Raw genomic sequence first — 19448 nt, 5'->3', positions numbered from 1 at the left:
CTCTGAATATGGATCTGAGAGGAGAGGGAGGAGAGCAAGGGGGCACAGGTATTAAAGAGAAGAAGAAGAAAAGAAGATTATGTAAGGCAGCATCACCAAAAGAATAAGTGGAGAAGACAGGAAAATTGCAAGTACAGAAGAAAACCTCAGGAACCAGTTCAACTAACCCTTTTACAGGCACCCACCACCACACTCAGCTAATTTTTTCTATTTTTAGTAGAATTGGGGTTTCACAGTGTTAACCAAGATGGTCTCGATCTCCTGACCTCGTTATCCACCTGCCTTGGCCTCCCAAAGTGCTGGGATTACAGGCGTGAGCCACCACACCCGGCCTATTTATTGTTTCTTAATTATTCATTTAACAATTATCTAGAGTTAACTATGGACCAAGCATATAGTTCTATTTGCTATCCTTTTCCAATCTGTGTTTATAATCGTATGGACTTTGATGTGCCTTGCCACCGAATATATTTGAGATGTGTTTTAAGTAGAAACATATCTTTCAGATTCAGCAGAAATGGAGAAAAAGTATAGCTCCAAGAGAGCATGAAAATGTATGCCATTAATTAAAGCATAATTTTAAAAAATAGAACCAATCAATATGAAAGTTCATTTCTCAACATACTTTATCTTTTTTTGTCTGATTAATTGCTTTTCTCCTCCACTCACTTTTTCTTTATGAGAATGTTTGTTTTCAGTAGGACATTATGAGAATGTAGTGAAAAAGTAATTCTAAAAATAATTCATCTGATAAAAGAGTTGTATTAACTTTATTACAGCTTCACACCTAAAATCTGGGAGGTAAATAATCTTTTGCAGCATCACAGTAGCATCTGTCTTCTAAACCCTTTTGTTCTAAGTCCCATTCCAAACAGGTACAGCTTCCATGGTATGATTTGTTTGCTTTTATCCAAACAGGTGTGGTTTTTGGGGCTCTACAGTGTGGCCTATGGCTTAATTACAAAATGAGATTTTTGTATACATAGTTTATTTCACCTAATAAAATGATACTTGTAGTTGGAATATTTTGCTTTTCAGATTGTGTAGATATCTTGGAATTGTACCACCCACAGTGTCCCAAATTCTGTCATGCACAGATGCTCAGTAAACTGAACACTGCCATCTATAGAGAAGTAATTAGCCAGCATCAGGTTTCATTGGAATCACTTTGCTGCACTCTGATTCACCCTTAAATTATTGTCTTCACTGTGCATTATGAGCTGATCAAAGCTGTTCTTCAAGTTTGGATGCTTTTTTTTTCTTCTTCTTCTTATTCTTTAGGGCAATGCTCTAGAGAAGAAACAGGCACTTTAGAGAGCAACTACATTTTCAAAAATAGATGAAATTAAAACAGAGCAACAAATCATACACACAGTTGATTTCTGTTGCTAGGATGTTTTGGCCTCTGTTTTATTTATTAACCAGCGCTGTCAGCAGAGAAAAATAGGACTTTTGAGACAACCATTGTAAACAATAAAGCCAAATGTCAGTCAAACAAATAAATAGCCAATCTTGCCAAGAAAAGACATTGCAGAATCTCTGTATCTTTCTCTTTTTTTTTTGTATCTAAAAAATGCATTTCAGAACAGGTGCATAAAGTTGCCCTAACTTGGTCAGGCCATCTGGCTAATTAGTATGTATGTTGAGTTCTAGTAATAATAATATTAAAAGCAAACACTTGTGTAATACCCTTTTCCCCTATGAGGACACTGAGAGACAGAGAAGCTAAGTAATCTAATCTGCTCAGGGACACATGACCAATCAGTTTAAGACTTGGGTCTTGAACCTGAGCGGTTTGGCTCAAGTCTTAAAAAATATGCCCTCTTAACAAATATACTATCATGCTCCTCATGTGAAAAGCAAAACCTCAGAGTGGCATAGGCAGAGTTATTAAAATAAAATGATTTAGGTTGAACTGTATGAAAAATGTCAATATTTGACAGTTTGTGACCTAACAGATCTGTAGTTTTATACTGTCCAATCTAATCGCAACTAAAGCAACTAAGCACACATTTATGAGGCCTCTGCTCTGGGTCAGGCCCTGTTTTCTGGATGTTGCTGGAGTTAGTATGATTTGGTGGCAGAGAGTGAATCTGGAGACTGGAATTTTCCAAGTCCCATTGCTAATTTTGATTAGTCAGTTCATTTCCCTGGACCTGTCTTTTCATCTGTTAAATAAGCAGATCTCAAACTTTTCAGACTGTAGTTCACTTAGAAAGGGTGAACCATCTTATGTCTCATTCATTCCAATCACTCTCAATTTCCAGTGGTAAACAGAACCGCTGGTTAGAAAGAATGTGACTATAAAAGCAAAATGTACGTGTGGGAAGAATTATGTTTGCATATGCTTTAGCAATAGGAATACAGATGATTTAAGTGTCCATATGTCTTAAAGCCTAATTATTACAAAATATTAGGCCAAAATATAGTCAGAGTGCAAATTATGTGTCACCAAGAGTTAACAAAATTATCTGCAACAAATAGAAGGGATAATGGTAAACCTAAATTAAATTTATCATTAAAAGTAGGAATAGTAGGATTTAACAACTATGACCAATTAAAGAAAACACTGAGGATTCAGTGGCTTTTTAAAAAGCATCTTGCCCCCAAACTGGGAGGATTCCACCTCTCTGCCTGTGCAGTAGAAGCTGTGTGACCTAGTCTTCCTGGTATAATACCAAATTAAATCCTTAATCAATTTTACTAAAACACTAATTTAAATATCAAATCAATAATCCTTAACAATTCACTCAGTGCTGGTTACATTTTAAAATACGTACCTATGAAATTACAAGTGATTTACCTTAAAAGGCCAAAGAAAAACTTATGTGGCATGATTGTGATGCCCTCACCTTCCATCCTAACCCTCTCTAATCGGCCAATATTAATATCAAATGTTAAAAAAATAATTATATTTATTTTAAAACAGAGGACACACATACACAAAGCCACCACTTATGTCAATACAGTTTAACCCCTACACAAAGGTGACAAGACAAACAGGTGAGTAGAGGCTAATACCTATAACAAGTTCTGCACAATCTGTGTGGGGCGCCTTGTTTGTGTGTGGTGTACGACAAATATGTATAAAATGTGTATTTTATACATATGTGTATATATATAATATTAATGTATATATAACGATACATAGGCACACATAATTAAACAATTGACATAAATGTTTCATGAAATAATACTCTTACTGTGTGCATTATCCTCTGAAGTTTCTATTTTATTTTTTAAAGAAAACTATGGGCTGGGTACAGTGGCTTATGCCTATAATCCCAGCACTTTGGGAGTCCAAGGCAAGAAGATCACATGAGGTCATGAGTTCAAGATGAGCCTAGCCAACGTGGTGAAACCCCATCTCTACTAAAATACAAAAAAATAGCCTGGCATTGTAGCCTGTGCCTGTAGTCCCAGCTACTCGGGAGGCTGAGGAAGAAGAATCGCTTGAACCTGTGAGGCAGAGGTTGCAGTGAGCCAAGATAGTGCCACTGCACTCCAGCCTGGGTGACACAGCAAGGCTACATCTGAAAGAAAGGAAAGAGAGAGAGAGACAGAGAGAGAAAGGAAGGAGGGAGGGAAGGAGGGAGGGAAGGAAGGAAGGAAGGAAGGAAGGAAGGAAGGAAGGAAGGAAGGAAGGAAGGAAGGAAGGAAGGAAGGGAAAATTAGTGATCATAAATTGATTTGATTTCACAATCCACTTTTGGGTTGTGATTTGCAATTTGGAAAGCATACTTTTAAAGAAGGTTACTCAGATATGCCAGATATGAGTTCACCGTGACCTCTATGAATAGTGTGGGCAACAAATGATTGGGTAAAGAAAATGTGATACATATAGAGAGATGTAGAGATATTTCTGTCTATAGATAAATATAGATATGGAATATTAGCCAAAAAAGAATGAAATCATGTCTTTTACAACAATATGGTTGCAACTGGAAGCCATTGTGTTAAGTGAAATAACTTAGAAAGTCAACTACCACATGTTCTCACTGATAAGTAGGAGCTAAATAATGTGTGCATGTGGACATACAGAGTGGAATAGTAGACACTGGAGACTTGGGAGGGTGGGAGGGTAGGAGAGGGATGAGGAATGAGAAATTACTTAATAGGTACAATATTCACTATTTGGGTGATGGTTACACTAAAAGCCCAGACTTCTCCACTTCACAATATATCCATGTAACAAAACTGCACGTGTATCCTCCTAAATCCATTTAAAGCAACAACAACAAAGAAACAAATGAGCAAAGGCACATTTGGAAATTTCTTAGATGAAGGGATTTGAAGTTGATTGCTAGAACTGGGCATAGTTAGCCTGGGCTAGAGACAAGTGATGATTGTAGAGAGGAGGAAGAAGCCAGAAGAGTAAGTCTCAGTCCTCCAATATTTGAGCAGCTACCGAAGTAACAAGACATTAGAGGGACTAAGCATTTCTTCCTGTGGCTCCCAGGGATGGATTTTCACTCATTCAGCCACCTGAGCACTATTTAACACCAGCTACTTGCCAGCTTCTGTGCTAGAGACTGAAAATCAAATACCAAATACATTAGTTAATCTTTATGCAAAGAAACCCTGCTTTTTCAGTGATGTGATAGGTCAACATGCCTGATACGATATGCAGTATGGAGAGATTTTGTTAAGTCCTAGTGAGTGGTTTTATTAGTGACTCACAGAGCTCCTCATTTACCAGGGTTGCCATTTGACTCAATTTCTTTTTCCTTTTCTCTTTCCTTTTTTTTTTTTTTTTTTTTTTTTGAGATGGGGTCTCCCTCCATTGCCCAGGCTGGAGTGCAGTGGCATGATCTCAGCTCCCTGCAACCTCTGCCTCCCAAGTTCAAGTGATTCTCCTGCCTCAGCCTCCCGAGTAGCTGGGATTACGAGCACCCACCACCATGCCCAGTAATTTTTGTATTTTTAGCAGAGATGGGGTTTCACCATGTTGGCCAGGCTGGTCTCGAACTCCTGACCTCAAGTGATCTGCCTGCCTCAGCCTCCGAAAGTGCTGGGATTACAGGCGTGAGCCGTCGCGCCCAGCCATTGAGTCAATTTCTAAATACTTCTGAGTGTTCACTACTGTGCAGAAAGTGGTTCAGTTATGGAGAAGCAGATGTCCTCAGAAGGTGAGCTATGAGCTTTCTACCTCAGCGAAAGTGTTTCCCAGTGCTTCCTTCCCCCATTCCCCTCCCCAGTTGGAGCATGAAACTATGAAAGAGCTTCCATCTGAACTTTAAAGGAGCCATTTTAGAATTCTAGCTTTAGACATTTTTTCTTGAGAAAAATCATTAAGCTTTCCTTTTATTTTAGATTGTTTAATTTGCAGGAAAGCACACATGATAATGAATACATAAATCTTCTCAAATACCCACAAAGCCTGCATAATGAATTCTTGGTTTTATACGCTTTGGGCTCTTACCAATTTCTTTTAAATTCCAAAATAAATCCATTAGAAGTTGTGATCCCCATCATTTCACTACACGGAAAATTCACTGTTAAAGCTTGTTTAGGGTTATCTGTGAGTTTATTATCAACATGTTGAAGTTACAGAAAGACATATTTTGGTTCCATATAAAACTAAATTTCTAAGCATAATAGCTACCTTGGTAGGTATTAAGCTCCCCAACATGAGAGACATTTAAGAATAGTTGAAGGTCACCTGGCATCTGGTTGGAGTAAGGGGAGAATGTTACCCAAAATTACCCTTTAGCTTCCTACCACCCTTGAGATTGTATGTTTTAATTAAATAATTAATTTAATTATTTCTCCAGCCCACAACCGAGTTTTTTCCCTAAAACAGCTTCCTATACGTGCTTTCTGGAATCACATCCAAAAACACAAAATGGCTTTCTCTTTAAATGAACACGTCTTTAACATACTAACTAGATCGAAATTAATCAGTAAGTACATTTCAGTCAGTCTCTTCTGACAATATAGCCATGGCTCAGCAAAATCAAATTATTAGTAATAATAATTATGAATAATACCAAATAGTAACAAAGCACTAGTAACATTGACAATTGTTCTTAAGTTGCTAACATTTATTTAAATGACTATTGTGTGGCAAATGCTGTACTAAGTGCTTTAAAGGTACTAATTTAATGATAACCCTTTCTGGTGGTATAGCTCTTATTTTCATTTAACAGATAAGAAAACTGAGGCAGGCAGCCAGAATGGAGATTATCAAAAAGTCAAGAAACAATAGATGCTGGCGAGGCTGTGGAGAAATAGGAATGCTTTTACACTGTTGGTGGGAATGTCAATTATTTCAACCATTGTGGAAGACAGTGTGGTGATTTCTCAAGGATCTAGAACCAGAAATATCATTTGACCCAGCAATCCCATTACTGAGTATATACCCAAAGGAATATAAATCATTCTACTGCAAAGACATATGCACATGTGTGTTTATTGCATCACTATTTCCAATAGCAAAGACATGGGACCAACCCAGATGCCTATCTATGATAGACTGGATAAAGAAATGTGGTACGTATACACCATGGAATACTATGCACCCATAAAAAAGGAATGAAATCATGTTCTTTGCAGGGACATGGATGAAGCTGGAAGCCACCATCCTCAGCAAACTAACACAGGAACAGAAAATTAAACACTACGTGTTCTCACTCATAAGTGGGACCTATACAACAAGAACACATGGACACAGGGAGGGGAACAACACACACCAGGGCCAGTCAGGGGCTGGGGGGAGAGGGGAGGGAGAGCATTAGGACAAATAGCTAATGCATGAGGGGCTTAAAACCTAGATGATGGGTTGCTAGGTACAGCAAAACACCATGGCACATGTATACCTATGTAGCAAACCTTCACATTCTGCACTTGTTTCTCTGAACTTACAAAAGAAAAAAAGAAAGAGAACTGAGGTAGGGAAATTACATAACGCAGAGGGCCACTTGGAAATAGCAGAACCAGGACTTAATGCCGATGAGTATACTAACTCAACAGAATAAACTCATAACCACTAGCCTATCTATAAAATGAGCTTTATTTAGATGTTTTTGACCCTTGCTAATTTCTGTTTCATCATCTAAAATTTAGGGACCTAGTAAGGCCCCCTTATTGGAAATAATCATGCTGAGAAAGGAAGAATGACCCCTATAGGTTCTTAGTTGGAACAGACCCCTGGTTTCATATACACATGGGCGACAACCAGGGCATGAGTAATTCTCAAAGAAGTGACTTTGAAATTCAGCTTATGTAACATCTTCAACGAGAAACAGCAAATTTTTAGAGAAGTGACAAGATGAAGGAAAAGGACTTTGAGTCTCTTCAGGCACAGCGAGCAGTTTGTAGGAAGCCAAATAAATGGCAGATAAAGGCTACTTAGTAAAGCTTGTTAATGTAGATTCTCCTGGTACCATGACCAGGCTGATGAGGGTCCAAAGTTGTGTTCAGTGGTTAACCTTTGCTCTCCCTGGTAGAAAAGCAGGGATGGGGGGAGAATACCTTTGTCTTTGTAAATCTATGTGCTGCTTTTAGGAAAATGGAGGGCAGAGAGTTTTCCCACATCTGCTTCTTCTTGATTGTCTTTAGCTCAGTAATTCTTTATATTTTGGGGAGGCATATTCCGGTCTCCCACAATCATATACATTATAGCTTAAGTATATGTTCTTAAAATTTGAAATATTGTATTATAAATTTTCAACAAGTGGAAATGGTTAAGTAATTTACAAGGTATCTACTCAGTGAAATTTTAAGGAGTTATTAAAATGTTTCTGACAAAGAGGTATTAACAGGAAAATGTGTGCAATTATAGCAGATGAAACAGTAAAGTGAACATTTTTTTGATATAGTGTGACCTTAACATTGTAAAAAAAAAAAAAAAAAAAAACCATAAAAAAACACCTAGAAGGAAATGACAAATATACTCACAATGATTGACCCTGAGTAGCAATATCTATTTTGTTCTAATATCTTTTCTTTAAAAATCTCTTGTATTTTTACTTAGTAAACTCCAATTGTTTCTACAATTAAAAAAAGTTTGTTTTGTTTTATTTTTGGTTCTATAAAGCGGTTTACTTTTCTGATACAAGTGACTTGGTTTCTGATCTGACGTTATTGTGTATAAAGTATCATGCTTTCATGCTCACTCTTCTTAAATGAAGATATATTTTAATGGTCATATGTTCATTTAGCAATAAATGAATCTGTATAGAAATGGGCAACTCAGATTCACTATAAAACATTCAATTATTAAGATGCACAAAGACTGCCAATTCAACTTTGCCCAGACTGGAGTCTAATGTATAGAATCTCCACTGAATTTACTGCCACCTTCATCAATTCCACCGAATTGACTGCTGCAGAATTTTATCTGCAGCCCTGCGAACTATGATCCTGTATTTTTCAGCTCACAGAGAATGGTGAAGGCTGGTCCAGCTGGTTTGAAGAACTTAATGCAAGGTGATGTGATTTATAGTCCATTTTGGAAGGTCCTCCACATGTGTACTATCTCCAGGCTCATGATTTAAGTACCCAGCTGAGGAAGAGTAATTCCTGTATTATTAGACTTGATTAACCTGAGGAAGCTTGGAGTGCTTCATTTTCAGGAAGGCTCGGGCTGTCCCACACGGAGATTGTATGCTTGAAATATGCTTTTGAAAAACTCTACCTTTGTTTTTCATTCAGTAACTGTCACAAGTACCACAGGAAACTTCTGCCTAATAAGGTCCACTTCCCTTCCTTAGCTTTAGATTTGAATGAAAGATGTCCACCCCACCATTAAATGTTGTATTTAGAGTCATTTGCAGAATAACTTACAATATTATCCTTAGTGGCAATGAACGTCCAAACATCAGAATTTAAACCTTTAACTTTGCCTGTTAAGCAGTTGATAAATAAGAAATATATACTTTACAGACTTACACATGTCTTTCCTGGGTGGGACTTTTTCTTACCTAGCATTGTCTAAAATAATTTATTAAGATATCTTCACAGTAGCATATCTTGGAACTTACCTAGTGGAAGTAACAATGCTTATAATCATGCCTGCATTGTAGAAGGAAAGAATTTTAAAAAGAAAAAAGAAAGAAAAATAAAACAGGACAACAATATTCTACCAACCTTAATTTATTCCTGGGCAAGACAACTGTGTATCACGGTTTTGCAAACACTGGCATAAGTGCTGTTAAATCCCTGTTCAGTTGTAAGTTAAAGTGCAGGGACCAAATGGATTCCCAGGAACTGAACCTATTTCAAGGAGGAAGGCCCTGTGATTTAGGCCTAAGACAAGAGTGTTGCTGGCATGACATTGCTGAAAGCAGGGGAAGAATGACTCCTTGCCCCAGAACTGCTTAGATGTGTCCGGGATTTGTGCAAAGTCCTTTGTGAGTTATTCAAACCAGGCCATCAGAAATGCTATGTTGGGTCATACCAGTGGAACCTTCAGCCAAGCAAGGATCCAAAACATTGCAGGATAGTGTGAGAAATGCTGGAATAACAGGCATATAGGAAATGCTATGGGAATAGTGGGTTGGTCATTATCTCAGTCTGTGAGGTTTGGAAGGATTCCCAGAGGCAGCAGTGTTTGAGTGTGTTTTAGAAGAATGAATAAAGTGAGTGTACAAAAAAGAAGAAAGAGCTGTCTGTATAAAGTCACCAAGTTTTCTAGGAAGAAGATGGTGAGAAGAGAGGCTATTAGGGAAGCAAAATTGTGAAGGTGTCATGTGCTTTACTAAAAACATGGGCTTTGCGCTTTAGTTGATGGGGAGTCAGCAATGGATTTGAACAGAGAAGAGACAAGATCAGGTGAGCATTTTAGAAGGAGTCCTCTGACTGCTGGTGTGGCTAATGCACTAAGGGAACGTGACATAAGAGGGAAGGAGCAAGTTTGGAGAGAGTAGCATTCATGACAGTGGCAGTGGCAACAGAGGGACATACAGAGTAGAGAGACATTTTGGAGGTAAGATTAATGGGATTTGGTGCCTGATTAGATGTGGAGGTTTGAGGCTGAAGATTCTAGTTCATATCACTACAATTGTGATACCACTAACCAAAGACTTTATGCCCTGTAAAATCCATGAATTTGGCTGAACTCTCCAATCTATAGTATGACTTCAGCTGTATAATAGTTCTGTGGCCTTTAAAATTTGAACTAAACTTTTAACTTTACAGAGAACTTCCTTTTGTTTGATCTCACTAAATTTATAGTTTGATAGATGAAAAAGCCAAGTGAAAATAATCTGACTAAAATCACCGAAGTGGATTTTTCGGAGGTTGGACTAGAACCAAGTCTCCATGTTCCCTAGTCTTAAACTTTAAATCAAATAACAAATCTGATAGCTTTGCACTCCATCCACTCCACCCATTTTATATTTTACATGGACTATATTAAAATTGGAGAGACTTTTGAACAGAATAGGAAGCAGGGAGCTTTGGAAAAGTCACAAAGAAATCCTGGGAACTTTTGGGAAGGAAGAGGTGTCCAGTAGAAGGCAAAGGGGAGCCAAGTAATAATGACTCTTCCAGGCTTTCCAGATGTCAATATTTGCATTACTCACAGTCCAAGGGCACCTGTTGCACCTGAATCCACTGAGTTTTCCCTATAAACCTCTCCCCTGTGCACCACATTAGCCTTGGGTGGTGGGGAGTGGAAGGTGGAGAGGGACCAGCTGATAATGGCTGTGAACAACAATCACTGTGGCCTCTACATAGGACAGACTCTGGAACCCTGGGTCCCTCAAGTCTCCTGTCTGTTTAAGAGGTCCCTTACAACTTACTTATCGGCATCACCCTCAAAATCTGTCCCTAGGCAATCTCAACCAGGGAATGAGTGGACTGTTGATTGTGTTGAATAAAATTATCTATGTAGACTATGTAGAGGCTATGAAAATAAGCTTGTTCAGTTTGAAAAGTGATAGGAGCTGCTCTTATATTGTTAAAACAACACTGAATCTCAACCTCAGTGAGCAGAGGAATTGGAGAGTCCTGATCCCTGAAAACCAGAAGTTCTCTACTAGAAGTAGTAGAATCATTTTGCAATGGTGGGAGAATCATTTTCAATTATTTTTTATCCGTGGTGGTGATTGGGAAGAGGTAAGACACCTGTCTTAGATGCAACAGGCATTTGTGGGCAGGAAGAGAGTGTTCATCTGAAGGGGTCATTATTGTCTTTCTAGGAGCCAAAAGGGGCATGCTATCAGGATGCCTGCAGAGAAACGGAAAGTCTTCATGATACTCCTCAAAGCACTGTTTGTTTGTTTGTTTGTTTGTTTGTTTGTTTGTTTGTTTTCAGGCAGATCTGATGTCTCTCAGGGTCTGCAATAACTGACTTGCTGTCAAGATTAGCTTCCACTTGTGGCTGACCTGTTTGGCAATGGTCAAATACCTGTGTCTAACAGAGAGATGGTCTACAGGTCTACACTTGTGCAGCCCTTATCTTTTGGGGGGATTTGATTGAATACCTGCCTTCCTGCCTGGCTCAGTGACTCATCTGATTTCCCATACCTCCTTGTCATTTAGACGTATGATTGGCAGACTCAATAACCAATCATAAAATAAATGAGCAAAATACTGCTTTGAAAGAAAGTTCTTTTTAAAAAACTTTTCTCCTAATATTTTTGTGTGGGGAGGGAAGGAAATTCATATAGAAAAATACAATCCCAAGCTCGTAGGTGTGGTTTAAACAGACCTTGTTTAGTTTTATGATTTAACCTAAAACCCTGGAGACTTCCACAGCTTTCAATCCCATCGAGGGAAGCCCTTTGTCAAGATTAGTTAGAAATGTTAGTGTTAACCCCATTTTATCCCTAAAAAACACTTTTAAAATGTTTTTAGTCTCCAAGCAATGAGCAGATTCAACTTTTCAGTGCTGTTTTCCTAGTGATCATTTGTTTCTGATGAATACATTCACAGCTGATTTTTTTTAAAAAATAAAACATTTACACTTAGATGACTTTGCATCTCAGGTGAGCTTGATTGACTCCTATTTGAGGGACTTTTTTTTCCCTCATAGGGTTTTTTAGCCTGTGCACTGCTCTTTAAGTGTTATAAAGTGAAATAACAGGGAAAAATGAGTGGGTGGTTACCATGGTGACCACCACAGCTGATTTGGGTAGCAGTAGACCGTGCTGGGAAATAGTGCCTTGTTAAACCGAACTGCAGTGATAATATTGAGAGGGAAAGTGAAAATGTCTGAGCTCCGCTTAATCAAATGACCAACCATTAAAACATGAATATCAACATCTGTGCTTTGGCTTCAAATGCATATATAGCACACATCAAAACAAAAGTCCTTAAGCGTACCTGGAAAATGGTTTTAGGAAGGAATCTAAATCGTCCTGGTTTCCAAGTTTTAGCTATTCATCCTAAAATATTAAGAAAAGCTTTAACTAACAAAGTCTTGATGTTGGCATTACAAGTTTTCCTGGTTCAAATTAAATGAAGACAAAGATTAATTTCTGAGATTGAGAGGACCTTATTTCTTGACTTGGTTTTGCCACGCAAAAAGGTGAAATTAGTGAAAGTCCGCCTCCATAAACCTTCCCTTTTTGAATTTTCTTCCCACCTAAGGGACGATTTAAGCAGGCATTTCCTGCCTAAGGGGAGCCAGCAGATTCCAGCCTGCAGCTGAAGAATTAACACTACGCTGTGAATAACTTTGTTTACTCTCTTCCACATTTTAAAAGAAGATACCAGACTACCACTTCAGAGTTGGAATTTCAAACACCAGCAGCTAGCTGGGAGGCAGGATTGAATTTGGAGATAAGAATTCTTCCTGGCGTCCTTCAGCAGCCTCCCCAGGCAGGTTTTCACCTCTTCGACTTTTCCAGGACTAAGCCTTTTTAACTGAGAAGAGAAAGAAAAAGAGGTGAGTGAGATAGCCAACATCTGGAAAGTGATTTGTTACAGCGTTTAAAACGGAGAAAATAATCCCATCTTTCAAATTGGCTTGTTTGTGTTGCAAAGCATCTCAAACTAGCTCTGCCACTAGCCTGGGAAGGTAGCCCTACCTGCTTCACTCCTAACAGGCTTTGGCCACCACTCAAGAGCGTCAGGAGGTGTGTGCTGGCCAGGCGGAGTTTATACACCAAGCAGCTCAACCAGGAGGAGGGAACAGAGCTGAATTTGGGAAGCAGCTGCCTGCTATGCTGAAAACCCCTGGAAACTTGCTAAAGAGCTGTGGTGAGAATCATGCTGCTTTTCTCAGACCCATTTCTCTTGACAGACCATGTGGGGGAGGTGTGGCCAGTAAAATGAAAAGAGGGCAGCAGATTCTCCTCCCTTTCCTTCCTAAAACAGCCTTTCCCTGCCGTTTGTTAGTAGCCACTGCTTGCAGGCATTTTCTACAGTGGCTCTGTTTTCATGTCTGTTGCTATCTGTGTTCTGTGAGAACAACAATCAGTGAATTTTTATCCTCCTTCAACTAAATGCAACCTCAGAATCACACTCTGAGTTTGATTTACCACTGGCCTCTTCAGCAGGATTATCTCATGTGAACTGCTAGACTCTTGATATTCTCTCTCTCTCTCTCTCTCTCTCTCTCTCTCTCTCTCTCTCTCTCACACACACACACACACACGGAGAGAGAGATTGATTAAGGAATGTGAAATATTTGCTTTAGACTTAAATTGGTTCCAGCAATACCTGGATCCACATTGATTTCAGATCAGACATTTAATGTATGCAAGTCCTGTTCAAACAGAAACCAGAGAGCGTGCTTCGGGAGAGCCTAGTTCTAATCCAGGGAGCCAGGCTTATGTGTGTGAAAGAACCAGACAGACTTGAATGTTGAATTCTGCTTTCACCAATCATAAACTGTGCAACCTTGGGAAACCATTTTATTTTACGCGTTCAGTTTTCTTATCAGTAAAATGGGTAGTACGTTCTGGTGGTTGTTTAAAGATTAGTAGTAGTATATGGAAAGCTAGACTCTAACATCCTCCAGGGGGCACGGTTACCTTATTTTGGGCCACATAGTTAAGTAACTGGAAAGGATAATTTTTAACAATCATAGCTTCATAGTTAAGAATGTCAGCTCAGATTATTCTGCCTGAATTCAAATCCCAGCTCTCTCATGGTTAGCTGAATAACATAAACCTGTAAAATGATAATGGTAGTAGTAACTATTTTACAATTTCTGAGGTTCATGCTTTTTATTTTTACTTATGTATTTATTTTTTTTGAGATGTGATCTCACTCTTTCACCCAGGCTGGAGTGCAGTGGTGCGATCTTGGCTCACTGCAACCTCCGCCTCCCAGGTTCAAGTGATTCTCTCACCTCAGCCTCCTGAGTAGCTGAGACTACAGCCATGTGCCACCATGCCTGGCTAATTTTTGTATTTTTTGGTAGAGACAGAGTTTCACCATGCTGGCCAGGCTGGTCTCAAACTCCTGACCTCGGGTGATCCACCTGCCTTGGCCTCCCAAAGTGCTGAGATTACAGGCGTGAGCCACTATTTCTGGCCCCCCAAGATAATGCTTCTTTGGTAAAACCCACAGCATTGCACCCAGCACAAACTAATACTCACTCAATGTCAGCTGTTGTTATTATGATGCAGGAATCTGACTATGGAGCTAGGCAGTTGGCCTCCTTCGACTAAATTCACCTCATTTGTTGTTTTGTTGTTTTCAATTTAATTATTTATTTATTTTTATTTTTTGAGAGAGTTTCACTCTGTTGCCCAGGCTGGAGTGCAGTGGTGCGATGTCAGCTCACTGCAACCTCCGCCTCCTGGGTTTAAGCGATTCTTCTGCCTCAGCCTCCCAAGTAGCTGGGATTACAGGTGCCCGCCCCCATGCCCAGCTAATATTTGTATTTCAGTAGAGATGGGGTTTCATCATGTTGGCCGGGCTGGTCTCGAACTTCTAACCTCAAATGATCTGCCCTCCTCGGCCTCCCAAAGTGCTGGGATTACAGGTTTGAGACACCACCCCTGGCCGTTTTGTTGTTTTTTAAATGAGAAGTTGGACAAGATGAATCCTAATGAACCTTCTACCTCTTAGTGGCTTTGTTCCTAATTGCATCCACATGCATGTAACATAGCCACACATCTTTCTGGTAGGGGCCATAAATAAAATTTTTTAAATGTTTTATGATGGAAAAACAGTGCAATGTAACATACGTTCTGGACTTAAAAATCATTGCCAGCTCATAAAGCCAGATGCGTCATTTCATATGCTCCTATAACTGTATTTCCTTAAGAACATATATTGTCACAGCCCCTGATGCTTCTTTGCATTTCTGTGGCTCTGGGGACTAAGAGACTTGCATCCAAACATTTTGTACTGATTTTAAGAAAGTTTATTCACCTAAGTTGGCTGAAGGTGGCACTTGTTAGCATTTCAAGTTTCTGTATTACTTTTGAGAAGGAACTTGAACCTGTGTCTCTGCTTTCTGTTGGCAATTAATATGTATCTGGCATTACAGCTGAGCAGTTGGCAGCCAGTTTAAAAACCAGCCTGGAGTCACTCCCCACCCCGCCTCTGGAGGTGAGGAGGTAAACTTGCTGGACTGGAGAGATTTGCATTTTCCTCAGAGTTGGAGCTCACCCCCATCAGTACTTCCTTTGCTACTTTCTCCATATCCCCTACCAAATTTACTTCCCACAACTCCTCTACAGGCTTTATGAGTGCCTTGAGCTAGGCTAGCACCCTTATTAAATAGAACAATCACAGATTTTTAGAATTAATTGTTGCCGTAAGACCACCATGAGGGTAGGGACCATGTCTTCTTATGCTTGGCACTTAAAACAGGAAAATTCTTACTTTGCATGGCAGTGGGAGACCATAAGAATGAAACCATAATGATCAATGAGAAAAACTATGATTGACCCATAAACTTTCCAGTTTTTTGTCAAAACGTTAAAAATTATCTTTTTGTTAGATATATAGGGAAATAAAAAATAGTAAAATAATATTTTATTAGTATGCTATTCTTTAAAATATTAGAAACAGTGAAAATTATTATATTTCTTTGGAAAAAAGAGTAGTTGGAATAGTACTTGCCTTTTTCTTCTTGTCAGTCATATAACTTGTGATACAGAGCAAGTATTTTTTATATGCCTTGGCAAACTGTCACACTTTTTTCTAATCATCTGGCAACCTTTTATCCTTTGCACTTTGTGTTTTGAAATACCTACAAGAGTTCTTCAATGTAAATTTTTTTGCCAGTATCATATTCTCTGGGACATTTTCATCCTTTATATCCCAGCCACCTTCTTTATTTATATTCATAAGTTTGCCTTCAGTAAGTTCCTCTGGCTGCATATGTGGAATTTCTCAATGAGCGTTGAGGTCGACATTCCCATAGTCAGCTGTATCTTCTATAATTCGTTGTCGCATCTAAATTTCACTTACAGCATTATAACTTTTTGTTTTCTTGCTGTGCTTTCCTCATTGCTGACAAAGTCCCTCTTTGAATTATCCATTTTTGTAAAATGTCTGTGGATTTATCACTGGAGACAAGGAGGCAAAACAAGTATGCTTTACTGTCTGTGTTGTGAAGTGAATAGCAGGTGCTCAGTGACCAGTCACTGACAGACCTTGAAAGAACTGACGTGAGTCACTGATGATGATGCGCATGTGTTATTGTGTAGAAATTTGTGAATTGAAGAGCTAGTAGCAGGTTTGTGCCTTATGCAATCACTCATACTTAATATATTGTGGTAGCTAAAGTTTGAATTGTGTTGTTGGGGGACTGGAACTACTCAAATCATGGTAATGAAAATTCATGCATATTGGAACCATGCAAATAAAAAATGTCTGTAGTTACTCAATAGTAAGGGTCTGTTAAATGAGTTAATTAACTTGTACGTTCACACTGATCTGGTTTGCAGTCTTATAGTGTCCTTTTAAGTGTCCTTATAGCTTGGCCAACTGCTATCCCCCTTCTCTTCTCACCTGTATAAGATGTCCAAAATAGCTGGTTAAAGCATGTCTATTAAAAATCTCCCTTTGAACAAGTCATTAAATTCTGAGCCTCATGTTTCACATGCTAAAGGCCCAGATTCTTTCTCATCAAAATTTTCCCTTCCTCAGTACCCAGCTCCTCACCTCTGAAAACAATTAATCAGATTAGTTGATTCACCCCCAGATACTCAAAGAGCTCTCAGGCTCCCCAGGGTAGGTTGGTTTCTTCCCGCGGTGAGAGGAATCAGCATGTGGCAGAGAAGTTCTCTCAAATGCTGCCTTCACAAGGGCTATTCAGACCTGGTGAGCAGCAGAAGAGAGGGTTCTTGAGTTAGAGAAGCTTCTTCCCTGGCCCTACTCTCTGGTAATTAAAAAAAAAAAAAAAAAAAAAGGGAGGGCTGAAGAAGGGAGTCAAAGATAATCCTAAACTTTACTTACTCTTTCATTTCAATGTGTTAATATTCAAGACGGACTGTGAATTCTGGAGATATGTAAGTATTTACAGTGTGGTGGTTACCAGCATTGGCTTTGTCAGATATGGGTTCAGGGAGAGATCCATCACTTCTTAGCTCTGTGAGCTTTCCCAAGTTACTTTATATAGTCTTTACTAAGCCTATGAAGCTTTTAGAACCTCATTCTTCCATCTGTAGGTTGTAATTATTATTTCCCTGGGCTTTTGAGAATCTTGAAAAAGGTAAAGAACACAATACACTTGGAGTACCTTTTGTAGTGGAAAAGCTTGAGAAACAGAAATGGTTTTAGCTTCTCAGGCATAACTTACATAACTTAAGTGAATGTCATTCTTTTTTTTTTTTTTTTTTTTTTTTTTTTTTTTCTGAGATGGAGTCTCACTCTGTCACCCAGGCTGGAGTGCAGTGGTGTGATGTTGGCTCATTGCAACTCCGCCTCCTGGGTTCAAGTGATTCTTATGTCTCAGCCTCCCAAGTAGCTGGGACTACAGGCACGAGCCACCATGCTCAGCTAATTTTTTGTATTTTTAGTAGAGATGGGGTTTTGCCATGTTGACCAGGCTGGTCTCGAGCTCCTGACCTCAGGTGATCCGTCCACCTCGGCCTCCCAAAGTGCTGGGATTACAGGCGTGAGCCACTGCGCCCGGCTGAAAGTCATTCTTTTTACTAAGATTTTCTTATTCACAGTATACAAGAGTTCTGGATGTGGAGATAGCATGTAATATACAGATTCACCTTGATGGAAGTTATCCAGTCTGTTTGTCGGGAACAAAGGCTAAGACTGGTGTTTTCTCCTGTCTCCTTATTGACTGTCATTGATGATTAAGAACCTGTATTATATTCTTTATAGAGTCAGTCCCCCAAATTCTTTTGGAACACCTCCTGCTATAGTTTTGATATTTTTGCCCGCCAAACTTCTCGTTGTAATTTTCTCCCACTGTTAGAGGTAGGGCCTAATGGGGGCTGTTTGGGTCCCAGAGGCAGATCCCTCATGAATAGATTAATGCCCTCCCTGGGGTCACTGAGTAAATTCCTTCAGAGCTGGTTGCCAAAAAGGGCCTGGAACCTACTTCCACCTTGCCTCTTTTCTCACTGTTTGACTTCTGCACATGCCCGCTAACCTTCCCCTTTTGCCAGGAGTGGAAGCACACTGAGGCCTTCACCAGAAGCAGATGCTGGTGCCATGTTTCTTGTACAGCCTGCAGGATTGTGAGCCAAAATAATCTCTTTATAAAGTACCCAGCCTCAGAATTGTTTTTATTTTTATAACAGCACAGATGGACTAAGACATCTCCTTTGAGTGTGCTCAGAGGTATGTTCAAATCTCTCAAGATCAAAACACTCAAGTCACATAGTGGCAGGGCGTCTCTTCCATTTCTGCTAATAGTGATGTCTCCCCTGGAAAAAGCAGCTTGCTTCATGGGCTTCTCAGTCCTCTAACACTGCATCCATTACAATGTGTCCCAAGTGCCATATGCATACACCTACAGACTTTTCCAGAAAGACACCAAATAAGAGTCACTGTTAGGCCTGACTGCTGTGTGGGCCATGGCTCTCAGTTCTGGCTGTGCAGGGTATTTTTAAACTGTAGCTCCTTTCAGGGATTCTCACTCAGTAGGTCTGAAGTAGAGTTGAGGCACCTGCATTTAAAAAACGTTTCCCAGGTGAAGAATGGGCAGGATTGAGAATTGCTGCTCTGGTGCCTATAGGTGCTGGAATCTGAGATCAAAACTAGTCCCAGCTGCAGTTGTCTGGACAAGAATGTGACCTTCACTTGCCTGGTGACTGGATTGGGCTAGGAGATGCAAGCTGGCCCTACGGTGTATTAGAACCCAGTTGCTCCTTATTCTTTTTACCCCAGGGCAACATTTTCTTCAATATTGTCTTCTTAGAGAGTAATCCTACTCATCTTGACTTAAGTTTTTATAACAGCTGCCTAACTGGGCTCCCCAACTTCACCTCCCTCTCAGCCTCTCAGTCTATTTTCCACCCTGCCAATATACTTACCTCGCTAAAATAAGAAACCCATTGTCATTTCCTCAATCTTCCAGCCATCAAGAACTGCTGCTGATTGTTTCCATAACATGGGATATTTCTTTTTTT

At 39.5% G+C, this 19448-nt stretch overlaps 1 protein-coding gene and 1 long non-coding RNA gene across 56 annotated transcripts in view; one reads left to right on the top strand and one right to left on the bottom strand.

Moving 5' to 3' along the window:
• The window catches only part of DLG2 (discs large MAGUK scaffold protein 2), a 2173362-nt gene that overhangs the window by 1890369 nt on the left and 263545 nt on the right, over positions 1–19448 (top strand). For 2 of the 55 annotated variants that reach the window (NM_001377977.1, XM_017017289.2), the window contains exon 1: positions 13080–13149. The exons of the other annotated variants lie outside the window; for them this stretch is intronic. In NM_001377977.1, coding sequence (NP_001364906.1) covers positions 13113–13149 — 37 coding nt within the window. In that variant the 5' untranslated portion in view covers positions 13080–13112. Of the gene's footprint in view, positions 1–13079; positions 13150–19448 lie in introns of those variants that run through there. 55 annotated transcript variants of the gene reach the window in all.
• The window catches only part of DLG2-AS2 (DLG2 antisense RNA 2), an 87698-nt gene continuing 80864 nt past the window's right edge, over positions 12615–19448 (bottom strand). Inside the window, exons 11-12 of the long non-coding RNA NR_187249.1 lie at positions 17020–17175; positions 12615–12813 (exon numbers count right to left, since the gene is read on the bottom strand). This is a non-coding gene — a long non-coding RNA (DLG2 antisense RNA 2). The remainder of the gene's footprint in view (positions 12814–17019; positions 17176–19448) is intronic.

Source organism: Homo sapiens, chromosome 11, assembly GCF_000001405.40.
Source record: "Homo sapiens chromosome 11, GRCh38.p14 Primary Assembly".
Taxonomy (NCBI): domain Eukaryota; kingdom Metazoa; phylum Chordata; class Mammalia; order Primates; family Hominidae; genus Homo; species Homo sapiens.
The sequence above is the reverse complement of the archived record's forward strand: the minus strand, read 5'-3'. Positions and strand labels throughout refer to the sequence as shown.